Source organism: Homo sapiens, chromosome 4 (assembly GCF_000001405.40).
Source record: "Homo sapiens chromosome 4, GRCh38.p14 Primary Assembly".
Lineage (NCBI taxonomy): Eukaryota > Metazoa > Chordata > Mammalia > Primates > Hominidae > Homo > Homo sapiens.
Genome location: NC_000004.12, coordinates 166702557 through 166717570, shown reverse-complemented (window position 1 = coordinate 166717570; position 15014 = coordinate 166702557). Strand labels below are relative to the sequence as shown.

The following is a 15014-nucleotide window of genomic DNA, read 5'->3' as shown; positions in this document are numbered from 1 at the left end:
GAGGGTGGAAGGTTGCCCATTGTGAAGGAAGCAAGCCTAGAGAAAAGAGAGAGTAGAGAAATGGAGGGAAGGGGTTTGGGGGTTCTTACCTTCCAGAAAAGTGGGAAAAGGGGTTGAGGCGCAGAGATAAGAGGTCGGGGCATGGAAATAAGGGATGGGGCACAGAAATAAGGGGTCGGGGCATGGAAAAAAGGGGTCAGGGCACGGAAATAAGGGAATGGGCATAGAGATAAGAGGTTGGGGCACAGAAATAAGGGATGGGGCACAGGGATATAAGGTGTTGGGGTGTGGAAATAAGGGATTGGGGTGCAGAGATACAAGGTTGGGGCACAGAAATAAGGGATTGGGGCACAGAGATAAGAGGTTGGGGTGCAGAAATAAGGGATTGGGGGTTCTTGCCCCATAGAAAAGTGGGACTTGCCGCTAAGGGTGAAGGAGAAGGGGTTGATGGGTACTTGCCCCTCTCCCAGAAAAGGGGAGAAGGGGTAGAGACAAGGAGAGAAGGGGTTGAGGTACTTGCCCCTAACCCAGAAAAGCAGGACTTGCCGCTAAGGGTGAAGGACCAAGGCAGGCGTCCCTGCGTGGTCTGACACCTTTGAAATGTGGGTGAATAATCAGAGAGGTGTCCCTGCAATGATTAAACACCAAGGGAAGTCTGCCTTCCCGTCCATGACCGGCGCCAGAGTTTTGGGTCCACGGATAAAATGTGTCTCCTTTGTCTCAGAAAATGAAAGGAATTGAAATTAAGAGAAGGGAGAGATTGAAGTGTGGTGCCAAGATTGAAAGGAGAAAGAGGTTGAGGGATAGTGAGGGAGGTTGCAGAAGAGAGTAAAAAGAGGCCGCTTACCGGATTTGAAATTGGTGAGATGTTTCTTGGGCTGGTCGGTCTGAGGACCTGAGGTCGTAGGTGGATCTTTCTCACGGAGCAAAGAACAGGAGGACGGGGGATTGATCTCCCAAGGGATGTCCCCCGATCCGAGTCACGGCACCAAATTTCATGCGCGTCCGTGTGAAGAGACCACCAAACAGGCTTTGTGTGAGCAACATGGCTGTTTATTTCACCTGAGTGCAGGCAGGCTGAGTCCAAAAAGAGAGTCAGCAAAGGGAGATAAGGGTGGGACCATTTTATAGGATTTGGGCAGGTAAAGGAAAATTGCAGTCAAAGGGGGTTTGTTCTCTGGCAGGCAGGAGTAGGGGTCGCAAGGTGCTCAGTGGGGGTGCTTTTTGAGCCAGGATGAGCCAGGAAAAGGACTTTCACAAGGTAATGTCATCACTTAAGGCAAGGACCAGCCATTTACACTTCTTTTGTGGTGGAATGTCATCAGTTAAGGTGGGGCAGGGCATATTCACTTCTTTTGTGATTCTTCAGTTACTTCAGGCCATCTGGGCTTATACATGCAAGTCACAGGGGATGCAATGGCCTGGCTTGGGCTCAGAGGCCTGACACTAGATATGGCAAGAAAGCAAAAAATTTTCAAGCAAATAAAAAATTAAACTCCGCTCAAGTCTCATGTTAGCCATGAAGCCTTTCCCATGAACTACTACCCCTTTTTAGACAGTTAGTCTGCTCCTTCACTGTATTTTCACCATGAGTTATAACACCTTTCACCCCTTACTCATGGAACTCACCCCACTCTCATGGAATGTTGGAATGTAGCTATAATTTGCATATCAATCTCACAGACATGAGGAGAATGGCTTACTCTTTTTTAAATCACAGCAATAAACACCACCACTAGATATAGCTGATGCTGAGCACTTGTTAAGAAATGAAATTATTAGGCAGAAAGCAAACAGCTTGTAATGCTAAAGGGACACCATAATGCAGAGTAGGATGACAGTGAGCTAGAGCTTGAGATGGGGAAGAGGGGCTGGCAATTGAACCAGTTACGAAAAGTTAAGTCTGATAGTTGCTGAGTTCTGGAAATACTTTAATGGAGAGCTGTGTAAGAATGGTTCAGGTTTGGAGAGTTAGAAAAGTATTACAGAAAACAGAATTCGTTAAAATGCAAGTGTGTTTTGAAAAAACTAAAGAGTATTAATGATCAATTCCATCAGTAGAGATTTGACAAATGTGATAGTTGATAGTATTTACTCTGTGGATCACACTAAACCCTAAAGAGGTCTACTCTGAAATGCTTTGATAAACTCAAATATGTCTCAGTGCTGTTTCACTGGAAAAATCAATTGCCAGTCCCACGTGGATGCTTCAGCATCCCTTGACAGCTATGATACTTTCCATTCATTACACAGCTCAAAGATAAGAATCTGTTCATCTGTTTTAGGGACATTGTCTTATACTTTGAAACCTAATGAACAGAAATTGAACCTAAGAAGAACTATTTATTTCAAGGAAATATTATAATTCTAACATGACTAAAGAGTCATCCTAATGCTGAGATAATTTCTGAGAGAATAACCTATTAATTTGATTATTTGGACTACAAATAAAAGAAACCAAATTCAAACTACTATGAATAAAAATAGAGAACATTGCATTTTATCAGTGGAGGTCCAGGGTGTGCCAGCCTATAGTCTCAGCTTAATCTAAATATTTACCCTCTTTTAAAACACACTGTCTTTCCCCTTTACCTGTTCTGCTTTGCTTTGTGTTTACTTTCAGCTAACAAAAGTTGCCTTGTAGCAGTTCTTGGTATTTTCTTGTTAACCTACTGTTAGCTTAAGCCAGTGTAGTAAGAGAGAGCATTATTTTTCTAGAAAAATCTAAGAAACTGTAGAATTAACCCTGATTGGCCCTGTTTGGGTACCATCAAATTTGTGAAATCATCATTACAGAACCAAAGAGTGACCAATTCATCTATGTGGATGGGAAGTAAGAGATTCTCCAAAAAGAAGAAATGGCTCCATAACACAGGAAATTTTTCTTGCCTGGGGTTAATGGTGGATTACAGATTCCATTTGTTTTAAAGAGATGAACTGTATAGAAAAAAACAGGGCTGTCTATTCCCATAAAATTTTAGCATTCAAAATATGTTTAAGACATGATTGCAGCTAATTCCTATTAACTTATTAACTGTGTTTTCCTGCCTTTCTATACAAACCTTCATATGTGACAGCACATCCCTGGACCCTGGGCCCTCTTGAACCCTCTTTTTGACTCTTGCCTTTATGGATTCAAAATGGCTTTGAATTGCCTACCCTGATATAAAATTCTATAAAAAGAAACACATTCTATTATTGAGGCTGTGAAAAAACATGCACTTCAACACATTGCTGGTGGGACTGCAAAGTGGTACAACTTTTGGCAGTAAATTTTGCAATCCTAACAAATACCTACACATCTACTTACTGTTTAACCAACAATCCCACTTCTAAGAATCTTCCCTGAAGATACCATTTAAAAATCCAAAAGTTCATATGCACTCATTCTCTGTAATTGCAAAATATTGGAAATAATATAAATGTTCATATATAGGAGATTGATGGAATTAACCTACAACATATCCACATAATGAAGTACTTCAAGGGTTTGAAAAAATAAATGAGGAAGACCTCTTTGAAGTTAAATGAAGTAATTTTTAGGATACAATTTTTAAGTGAACAAAAGCAAGGATATGTACACAGAATATCTCTCACAAGGTACTTATTTTAATTGCATAGGAAAAATAAAGTAACTTTATATTGGATAAACAGAGCAGACACCATGTTAACAATGAAATCACAGCTAATATTCTTAGAAATAAGACATATCTGTAATCTATATCTCCTGATATGCACTACAAAAAAAAAAGGCACAGTATCATTTCTGCGACCTTGCAAAACTTCGTAATGGCAATTTAATCTCAAGAAAACCTCAGATAGTGCTTGCCTAGAGTGACATCAGCAACATGGTAGAAATAGGAAGTTCCTGAATTCCTCCACGTATGGATGCACCAAAGAAACATCTATTCATAGATCCTTTTCCTCTGAGAGAAAGTCAGACCAGTTGAGAAATGCCTATGCACCAAGCAACTGAGAAAACATTCACATCAAAGGGGTAGGAAAAGCTTAGACATACTCAGGCACTATACAATCAAGAAAGGAATCTCCACTATCAGGCTTCTCCCTGTGGAGAGGAGAGTTTGGACTTCATATGCAGTGCCCTAACTCTAAGGTTCCCCATGATATGGCTCTTAATTAACAACGATAGGAGCAAGGGTCTTTCTAGACTGCGGGAAAGAAGGTGATAATTTAATATAGGAGCTCGAGGGCTTCCAGGGGCTTTACTTCCTGGGACCAGTACCAAAAAGTGGCTTAAAATATGCAGACTTCTGTCTCTCCCCACATCAGGCTTATGATATGCTCTTGTAGTGTCTACTTGGTGGCCTGGCTGCTAACTGTCTTGTATCAGGGATTTAAAGGAGTAGATAAATATTAGCCCAGTTGGCAGCCTGAGAGGCAGACTGACACTTCTCCAACTTGCTCCCATTGCTTGCCCCAGTAAGAATTCTAAGATTTATTAATCTCCCTCCTGGAAGGAGTTAGTTCATACATCTAGCACCCCAACTTTTAAAGCTTCCATTTGAGGGACTGTATCCTACGCCTCTTAGCTCTGGGAGCAGAGGGGACAAAGTGTATGCATGTCTATATAGGCCACAGAAAAAAGTGAGTTTTACACAGGCATGTAAGCACTCTAAGAGCCTTTGTGCCCTAGGAGCAGTTCAAAAATTGGGCTTTAAAAATCCATCTTCTTGTTTTTCCCTGGAAAACATTTATGACATGAATTGAGTATCACAACTTTTACAACTACCTTCTGAAGGACTTCATGCTAAACCTCCTAACTCTGGGAACAGAAGATAATAGGCATATGTGAGTTTCCCCAAATTACAGAACAAAGACATGGTTTTAAACAGTCAGATAAGCGTTATTAGTTGCTACATCCCCTTGGAACAGTGCAGAAAAGTCTGAAAGGGACTTATAGCACAAAATTCCAGTGGCTATTTGATGGCCTGGATGCTAACTAACTTGTATCAGAGAGGTAATTTGGCAAACAATAACCCTATAACAGCAGGAACCAAGCTTGGCATGTCCTTTCAGCCCACCACAGTGATAAATTCACACCTACCATTTTTCCTGGAAGGTGTTTGGCAGTACACTGAGTGCCACAGCTTCTATAGTTTCCACTCAAGGGACTGTCCTCTTAATGAATAAGCTCTGGGAGTCAATGGGGTTTTGCATTTTTGAGTGGCTCTAGACCAAAGAGTTTGATATACAACAGACTGTATTCTGGACAGTATCTCCCCAGGATCAAAAGGTGCAGCATGAAAGTGAGTACAGACATTTGCCACAGACCCTCTCTCTGGCTTAGTGCACAGGGAACTGAAGATAGACATCCGTACTCAGCTCCACTGTGAAGATAGAAGGAACTAGAACACAGCCAAGACTCCAACCTTATCACCTACATCTAAAGAAGCTAGATCCTACTTTTCTGATCTGAGATACTGATAGAACATGGTATATCCTAAGTTGGAGGGGGCCACCTAAAACAGAGACAGGAGTCTGAGCAAGCAAAAAGATTAGAGGGGCAACTTAAAATCTTTGACCAGATGGATTGGTGATATTCTTCTCCTACGTGAGCCCAAACTGAAAAGTCTAGGAGAGGTAGTTGCTACATTCAATATGTAGAAACGAACACAGAAAATCAAGGAAAATTAAACAATAGGGGAATATGTTCTGAGCAAAGGACAAGATAAATCTTTAGAAACTGACCCAAGTGAAGTGGACATATGTGATTCACCTGAGAGAAAATTCAAAATAATGATCATTAAAATGTCTATCAAGGTCAAGAGAGCAATGCAGAAACAAATAGAGAACTTCAGCAAAGATAGAAAGTATAAAAAAGTAGCAAAGAGAAATCATACTGAGGAATATAACTGATCTTAAAGTCCAATAGAGCAACAGCCAACTAGACTGAGGGAATAAAGTGTCAGTGAACTTGAAACAGGTAACTGGAAATCATCCAGTGTGACGAGCAAGAAAAAAAAAAGGAATGAAGGCAGCTTAAGAGACTTTTGAGACACCATCCAATAAAACAACTTACGCATTATTGGCATGCCAGAGGGAAAAGAGAGATAAGAGGACAAAAAAAACAAACACATTATACAGAGAAATAATGGCAGAAAGTTTCCAAGCCTGGGTAAGGAAACAGAAAGCCAGCTACAAGAACCCCAAATACACCAATAAAATGAACCAAAAAGATCCACACAAAGATATACTATAATCAAATTACTAAAAATTAGACTAAGTTGAAAGCAGCCAGGAGAAAATGAATTATCACATATAACGGAATGTCCATAAGACTATCAAAGGATTTTTCAGCAGAAACCTTGAAGGCCAAAAGGTAGTAGAATAGTAAATTCAACATCCTGAAATTAAAAAAAAAAAAATCAGAAGTATCATACCAAGCATTCTTGTGTTTCAATAATAAATGGGTAATAAAGACTTTCTTAGACAAACAAAAGCTGAGACAGTTTACCACCACTAGGCCAGCCCTACACAAAATGTTAAAGGTTGCTTTTCAGGTTGAAGGAAGAGGACATTAGTTGTAACATGAAAACATATAAAAGTATAAGACTCACTGGTAAAGCAAGTACATTGTCAAATCCAGAACATTCTAATACTATAAAAGAAGTAGGTAAATCAGTTATATTTCTAGAATAAGAGTTAAAGGAAAAACTATTAAAAACAATTAAAGCTACAATAACTTGTTAAGAGATGTAAATTACAAAAAGATGTAAAATGTGACATCAAAACCACAAAATGTGGGAGGAGGAGGAGTAAAAGTGTACAGTTTGTATATGCAATTAAAATTATCAACTTAAAATAGTCTACTGTAATATAAAATATTTTATATAAGTCTTAAGGCAACCACACAATGAAAGCCTATAATAGATACACAAAAGATAAAAAGAAAATATTTAAAGCATACCACTAGGAGCCGTCAAATCACAAAGAAAGAAAACAAGAGAGGAGGAAAGGAACCAAAAATTTATAAAACTGTCAGAAAACAATTAAAAATAGCATCAGTAAGTTCCTTACCTATCAGTAATTACTTTAAATGTAAATGGAATAAATTCTTCTGTCAAAAAACATAGAATGGCCAAAATGAACATATATACAAACTCATACAAACTGTCACATGCATCCTTATGAAGAGACCACCAAACAGGCTTTGTGTGCGCAATAAAGCTTTTTAATCACCTGGGTGCAGGCGTACTGAGTCCCAAAAAGGAGTCAGCAAAGGGAGATAGGGGTGGGGCAGTTTTATAGGATTTGGGTAGGTAGTGGAAAAGTACAGTTAAAGGTGGTTATCTCTTTTGGGCAGGGGCAGGGGTCACAAGGTGCAGGGTGGGAAGATCATGAGACTCATTGTCCAGGTGGGGAATGTCACAAGGTCAAATGATTAGTTAGAGTGGGGCAGGAACAAATCACAATGGTGGAATGCCATCTTTTGTGGTTCTTCAGTTGCTCCAGGCCATCTGGATGTATACATGCAGGTCACAGGGGTTATGATGGCTTAGCTTGGGCTCAGAGACCTGACATTCCTGTCTTTTTATATTAATAAGAAAAACAAAAAATAGTGGTGGAGTGTTGGGGCGTTGAAAATTTTTGGAGGTGGTATAGAGAGATAATGGGCAATGTTTCTCAGGGCTGCTTCGAGCGGGATTAGGGGCGGCGTGGGAACCTACAGTGGGAGAGATTAAACAGAAGGAAGGTTTTGTGGTAAGGGGTGATATGGTGGGGCTGTTAGAAGGAGTATTTGTCATATAGAATGATTGGTGATGGCCTGGATGCGGTTTTGTATGAATTGAGAAACTAAATGGAAGGCACAAGGTCCAAATAAGAGAAGGAGAAAAACAGGTAGTAGAGGACTAAGAATTGGGAGGAGCCGGGAAATCCAATTAGAAAGTGCCCAGGGAGGTTTAGCATAATTATTTGCCTGGTTGGCAAGTTTTTGGGCTCTATCGTTGAGTTTTTTATGTTGTCATATACCAGGCAAGATTGACTTAGGTAAAAACAACACTCTTCATTTAAAAATATATACAGTCCTCCTTTTTCAGCAGCGAGTAAGTTGAGGCCTATTCCTGTCATCTTATATTAATAAGAAAAATAAGACAAAATAGTGATGAAGTATTGGTGTCATGAGGGGAACAGAAAGCTGTTTGGTCCTATTTGCAAACAGATTTTTGGGAGTAAGGAAAACTAGTGTTCATGTGCCTGTCCAATTCATACGCAGACACATGTAGGTGGAGGAGCCACGGAGGAAGAAGAGACCTTTGTCAGGCAAAACTGCTCCTTCTAACAACCCCACAATATCACCCCTTACCACAAAATTTTCCTTCAGTTTAATCTCTCCCACTCTATGTTCCCACGCCGCCCCTAATCCTGCTCAAAGCAGCCCTGAGAAACATCACCCATTATCTCTCTATACCACTCCCAAAAATTTTCGGCGCCCCAACACTTCACCACTATTTTGTTTTGTTTTTCTTATTAATATAAGAAGACAGAAATGTCAGGCCTCTGAGCCCAAGCTAAGCCATCATAACCCCTGTGACCTGCATGTATACATCCAGATGGCCTGGAGCAACTGAAGAACCACAAAAGATGACATTCCACCATTCTGATTTGTTCCTGCCCCACTCTAACTAATCAATCGACCTTGTGACATTCCCCACCTGGACAATGAGTCTCATGATCTTCCCACCCTGCACCTTGTGACCCCTGCCTGCAAGAGATAACCACCTTTAACTGTACTTTTCCACTACCTACTCAAATCCTATAAAACTGCCCCACCCCATCTCACTTTGCTCACTCTCTTTTCAGACTCAGCCCACTTTCACCCAAGTGAAATAAACAGCCTTCTTGCTCACACAAAGCCTGTTGCTGGTCTCTTCACACAGACTCCCATGACACAAACACACACAGACCCAAGTATATTCTGCCTACAAAAGACTCACTTAACCTTAGAGGATAGTGATAGACTGAAAGTGAAGGGTTGGAAAAAATATATTTTATGCAAATGGATACAAAAAGAGAGCAAATGTAGCTCTGCTTCTTTCAAATAAAATAAACTTTAGGGCAAAAATGCAAAATAAAGGTCATTATATGGTGACAAAGAAGTCAATCCATCAAGAGGACATAATAATTGTAAATATATATATGTGTGTATATATACACACACATATATACACACACACATATATATACACACACACACACCCCAACATCATAGCATCTTTATATATTTATAAATATATAAAGCAAACATTAAAAGATCTGAAGGGAGACATAGACTGACTGGAACACAATTATAATTGGGGATTTCAATACCTCATTTTCAATACAGAACAGGTCATCCAGACAGAAAACCAATAAGGAAATATTGAACTTGAAACACACTTTAGATCAAATGGACCTACACAGGCGTACCAAACATTGTACTAACAACAGAAAACAGATTTTCCTCAAGTACATATAAACACACTTTCCTCAAGTACATATAAAACATTCTCAAGAATATTTAGACCACAAAACAAGTCTTAACAATTTTAAGAAGATTGAAATCATATATTTCACGTATCTTTTCTAAGACTATATGAAACTAGAAACTAATAAGTGAATAAATTATGGGAAACTAACAAATAAGTAAAAATTAAGTGATATGCTTAATATTTAACAACTATTGGGTCAAAGAAGAAATTAAAGGAGAAAATGTCTGAAGACAAATGAAAATACAAACTGCCAAAACAGAATTCATCAAAAACAGTTCTAAGTGGATAGTTCATAGCAATAAATACACCAAAAAAGAAGAACAACCTCAAATAAGTGGACAACTTTAGACTACACCTCAAGGAACTTTAAAAATGAGCCCAAAATTAATAGAATGAGGAAAATAACAAATAACAGAGCAGAAAATGTGGAAATAAAGACTAGAAAAACAATAGAAAAGATCAACAGAAATTAGAATTGTTTTTTTGAAAAGCTAAGCACAATTGTCAAACCCTTAGCGAGACTAAGAAAAAAAGAGAAAAAAAAATTCAAATAAAATAAAATATGAAAAATGAGATGTTACAACTGATAATACACAAATACTAACGATTATAACAGACACTGTGGAAAAAATGGACAACTTAAAAGAAATAGATAAATTTCTAAAAACATATAACTTACCTAGAGTGAACAAAGAATAAATTGGAAATCTGAACAGACCAATAATGAGTAAGCAAGTTGAATTAGTAATTTAAAATCTTACATCAAAGAAAAGCTTAGGGTTTCACAGATGAATTCTACAAAAAACTTATAAAAGAACTAATATCAATCCATTTCAAGTTCCTTCAAAAATTGAAGAAGTGGAAATACTTCCAAACTTATGAGGCCAGTATCACCTTGACACCAAAATCAGACAAGAACACTATAAGAAAACTACTGACCAATATCACTGATGAATATAGATGCAAATATCAACATAATACTAGAAAATCATATTCAACAGTATATTAAAAAGTTTAATCATCATGATGTTTTGGGATATATCCCAGGAATGCAAGGTTGATTCAACACATGCAAATCAGTACATATGCTTCGCTATATTAACAGAAAGAAGGGAAAAAAAAAAAAAAGAAAAACAAAACAAAACATGGTCCCAATAGATGCAGAAAAACCATTTGACAAAATTCAACACCACTCATGATTAAAACTCTCAAAAAATCAGGCATGGTAAGAATGTTGTGTTAGGGTTCTCTAGAGGGACACAACTAATAGGATTGATGTATAGATAGAGGCAAATTTATTAAAGAGTCCTCAAAATGTCTGATCATTTCCCTTTCCTCAATGCACAGTTACCCTGGTAAAAGGCCAGAGGTCTCCTTGGGTAAAGATAGGAGAAAGATTAACAGCATATATTGTTGGTAGTATAGTGGAGGCTTCCTCAAGGGGAACTGGTCTCCTCTTCATTCAAAGGGTTCTGTGTCTGTAAACTGGTTAAAATCTGAAAACTGATTGAAGGGTCATGATTCTCTGTGTTGTTGTTGTTGTTGTTGTTGTTGTTGTTTTGAGATGGAGTTTTATTCTTGTTGCCCAGGCTGGAGTGCAGTGGTGCGATCTCAGCTCACCGCAACCTCCGCCTCCCGGATTCAAGCGATTCTCCTGCCTCAACCTCCCGAGTAGCTGGGATTACAGGTGCCCACCACCACACCTGGCTAATTTTTTGTATTTTTAGTAGAGACAGGATTTCACCATGTTGGGCAGGCTGGTCTCGAACTGCTGACCTCAGGTGATCTGCTGGCCTCGGCCTCCAAAACTGCTGGGATTACAGATGTGAGCCTCTGCGCCCAGGGATTCTCAGTTTTTATAATTTAAATTAGTCTTTTGTCCACTAGAGCTGGAGGCCTTCTGCTTACATAAATTAAGAATGATGTAGGCTTCCTAACATCTTCACTTCTAGAAATTCTGTGATTCATTAGCCAGTGCCAGAGCTCTACATGAGTCACACTATTCTGATTGCCTCTTTGCCTCTGCTGTTCATTAGGGTAGCTACACCCACCTTACTTTTGATTGTTGAGTGCCACCACTTGGCCCCTGCCACCTCGGGATCCCATTGCATTTAAATTTTGTAGTTGGGTGACTGCAGTTCCTACTGTAAGATCTGGCATACAGAGAAGAGCAATCACAGAACTCTTCAAGGATGCAGGTGCTGCCCTCACAAATCTATTTCACAAAGTACTGGTCAAGGGTATATCTTCTGGACTCTCCCAGCTGGGATAAGTAGGTCTAAAGTGACTAATCCACTCTACCATCCCAATTTCCCTAAGCCTTTGCATCCCCTCCTCTACATTAAACCAAGGGAGATCAGGCATTTCCAGCTCGTTCACAGTGGGCCATCTTTTAATTCGTATTTCAGCTAATCAAGCAAATAAAGGTTCTATTAGAACTTTTTAAGCTCTATTAATAATTAAAGAAATTATTAAAACTTAATTTCTTTAATATAAGTGAATGAAAGATGAATTCCTATCACTTGCAAGTAAGTGTCTTGGGAGTGATGAGTATAATCAATGTTATTTTTAAAAAATAGTAAATATTTGGACATGCTCTATTATATAGTAAATGTCCCTATAAAGCTACCCTCATGAAAATACTGTAATTCTTTCAATACAAAATTTTTAGAAAGATCCAGAAGACATAAAAATAAAAATAAAATGTATTTGTTAGACACAGCGGCTCACACATGTAATCCCAGCACTTTGGGAAGCTGAGGCAGGAGGGTTGATTGAGCACAAGATTTTGAGATTTTGAAGTTGCAGTGAGCTATAATTGCACCACTGCACTCCAGCCTGTCAGAGTGCAAGAGTCAGTCCCTAAATATATAGAGAGATGTATCTATATCTATTTACATATCATACATATATATGATTTATAAAATTAATACAGCAACAATTCATAAGTCAAGTAGTATAATTAGTAAGTCTCCTGGAAAAAATATATAATTCACACCTTAAGTCACAAGTACAAAAAATAAATTAATAAATGTTTGATTATTAAATATAAAAATTAATGCTTAATTTTTAAAACGAACTCATAAAAGTTCTAAAGGAAAAATATAAGTGACTACTCATAGGATCTTCACATAAAATAAGACCTTCTAATAACATTTCAAAAATCAGAGACTCTAAAATAAAGATAGGTAGATATTATTATATTAAAATATTAAAATAATACAACTGTTTTAATTTTATATGAAACAAAATACTGTAAACCTTTTTTAAACCCAACGCATTTGACCAAGAGTTGCAGCAATGAAATACACATAGGGCTAATATTCTAATTAAGAAATATCCCTTAATTACATAAATAATAGATTCTAATGATTACATTTCTAAAACAAAATACATATACACATCCCTCTGATAACAATAGACTCAGGTATAGTAATGTTCCTATACTGTAAAGATGGGATAAAAAATTGAGGATAATATGGTAAACTTCATCTAAAGTCTTAAATACATATCAATAAAATCATGTAAATGTTTGTGAAGATTTATTTACAATATAAGCAACATTGTACTATTTGTAATACAGACAACCAAAAACAAGTGGAATGTCCTAATGCCAGGAAAATGGTAAATTAGTGTTGGTGCACATCAAGCAAACAAACGAAAGAAGGAATATCATGCAACCAATAAACTGGAGACTTGAGGAAAATACTTGATGACTTGTATAATTGTTCACAATATAGTAAATAAAATGAATATATATCTGTATATGTAAAGAGTACTATTTTTATACATATAAAGACCATATAACATATTCATATAGATTTTTTAAATGATTTATATATACACATAAAACGAATACATTTAAATTTTCTACTTAGAGACTATATATATAATTATTATTTTTTAAATGATTTATATATACACATAAAACGAATACATTTAAATTTTCTACTTATAGACTATATATATAATTATTCACACATAAAACAAGATCTATACAAATATATACACATGGATATTGATTTAGTTTGGATGTGTGTCCTAGCCCAAACTTCATGTTGAAATGTAATTCCCAGTGTTTAAAGCAGTACCTGGTGGGAAGTGCTTGTCTGGATCAGGGGGTTGGATTTCTCATGAATGGCTTAGCACCAATCCCGTGGTGCTAATGCTGTCCTCATGAGAGCGAGTGCATTCATGTGAGATCTAGCCATTTAAATACGTGTGGCACCTCTCACCCCTCTCTTGCTCCTGCTTTTGCCATGTGATGTACCTGCTCCCCCTTTGCCTGCCACCATGATTGTAAGTTTCCTGAGGCGTCTAGAAAAGCAGAAGCCACTAAGCTTCCTGTACAGCCTGCAGAACTGTAAGCCAATTAAACCTTTTTTCTTATAAATTGCCCAGTGTCAGGTGCATATATATATATATATATATATATATATATATACACACACATATATATATATATATACATATATATATATATATACATGTATATATATATTATTTTGTTTTAAGTTCCAGGATACATGTGCAGGATGTGCAGTTTTGTTACATAGTTAAACGTGTGCCATGGTGGTTTGCTGCACCTATCAATCCATCACTTAGGTATTAAGCCCCACATGCATTAGCTATTTATTCTGATGTGCTCCCTCCCTCCACCCACCAAACAGGCCCCAATATGTGTTGTTCCCCTCCCTGTGTCCACGTATTCTCATAGTTCAGCACCCGCTTATAAATGAGAACATGCAGTGTTGGGTTTTCTGTTCCCGTGTTAGTTTGCTGAGGATAATGGCTTCCAGCTTCATCCAAGTCCCTGCAAAGACATAATCTTGTACCTTTTTATGGCTGCATAGTATTTCATTGTGTATATGTACCACATTTTCTTTATCCAGTCTATCACTGATGGGCATTTGGATTGATTCCACATCTTTACTATTGTGAGTAGTGCTGCAATGAACATACGTATGCGTGTGTCTTTATAATAGAATAATTTATATTTCTTTGAGTATATGCCCAGTAATGGGATCACTGGATCAAATGGTATGTCTGGTTCTAGGTCTTTGAGGAATTACCACACTGTCTTCCACAATGGTTGAACTAACTTACATTCCCACCAACAGTGTAAAAGCACTCCTATTTCTCCACAGCCTCACCAGCATCTGTTGTTTCTTGAATTTTTAATAATCACCATTCTGACTGTTGTGAGATGGTATCTCATCATGATTTTGATTTTAATTTCTCTAATGGTCAGTTGTGTTAAGCTTTCTTCATATGTTTGTTGGCTGCACAAATGTCTTCTTTTGAGAAGTGTCTGTTCATGTCCTTTGCCCAATTTTTGGTAGGGTTGTTTGTTTTTTTCTGTAAATTTGTTTAAGTTCCTTGGAGATTCTGGATATTAGACCTTTGTCAGATGGATAGATTGCAAAAATTTTCTCCATTCTGCAGGTTATCTGTTCACTCTGATGATAATTTCTTTTGCTGTAGAGAAGTTCTTTAATTAGATCTCATTTGTCAATTGTTGCT

At 37.7% G+C, this 15014-nt stretch overlaps 2 annotated features.

Annotated features, from left to right (window-relative positions):
* Nucleotides 301-1144: an enhancer, noted in NCBI's record as "OCT4-NANOG-H3K27ac hESC enhancer chr4:167637578-167638421 (GRCh37/hg19 assembly coordinates)". NCBI's record gives its function as "activates a minimal SCP1, AML or CMV promoter by ChIP-STARR-seq in naive H9 embryonic stem cells {active_cell/tissue: H9 hESC(naive)}" and the evidence as "EXISTENCE:reporter gene assay evidence [ECO:0000049][PMID:30033119]".
* Nucleotides 1145-1989: an enhancer, noted in NCBI's record as "OCT4-NANOG-H3K27ac hESC enhancer chr4:167636733-167637577 (GRCh37/hg19 assembly coordinates)". NCBI's record gives its function as "activates a minimal SCP1, AML or CMV promoter by ChIP-STARR-seq in naive and primed H9 embryonic stem cells {active_cell/tissue: H9 hESC(naive and primed)}" and the evidence as "EXISTENCE:reporter gene assay evidence [ECO:0000049][PMID:30033119]".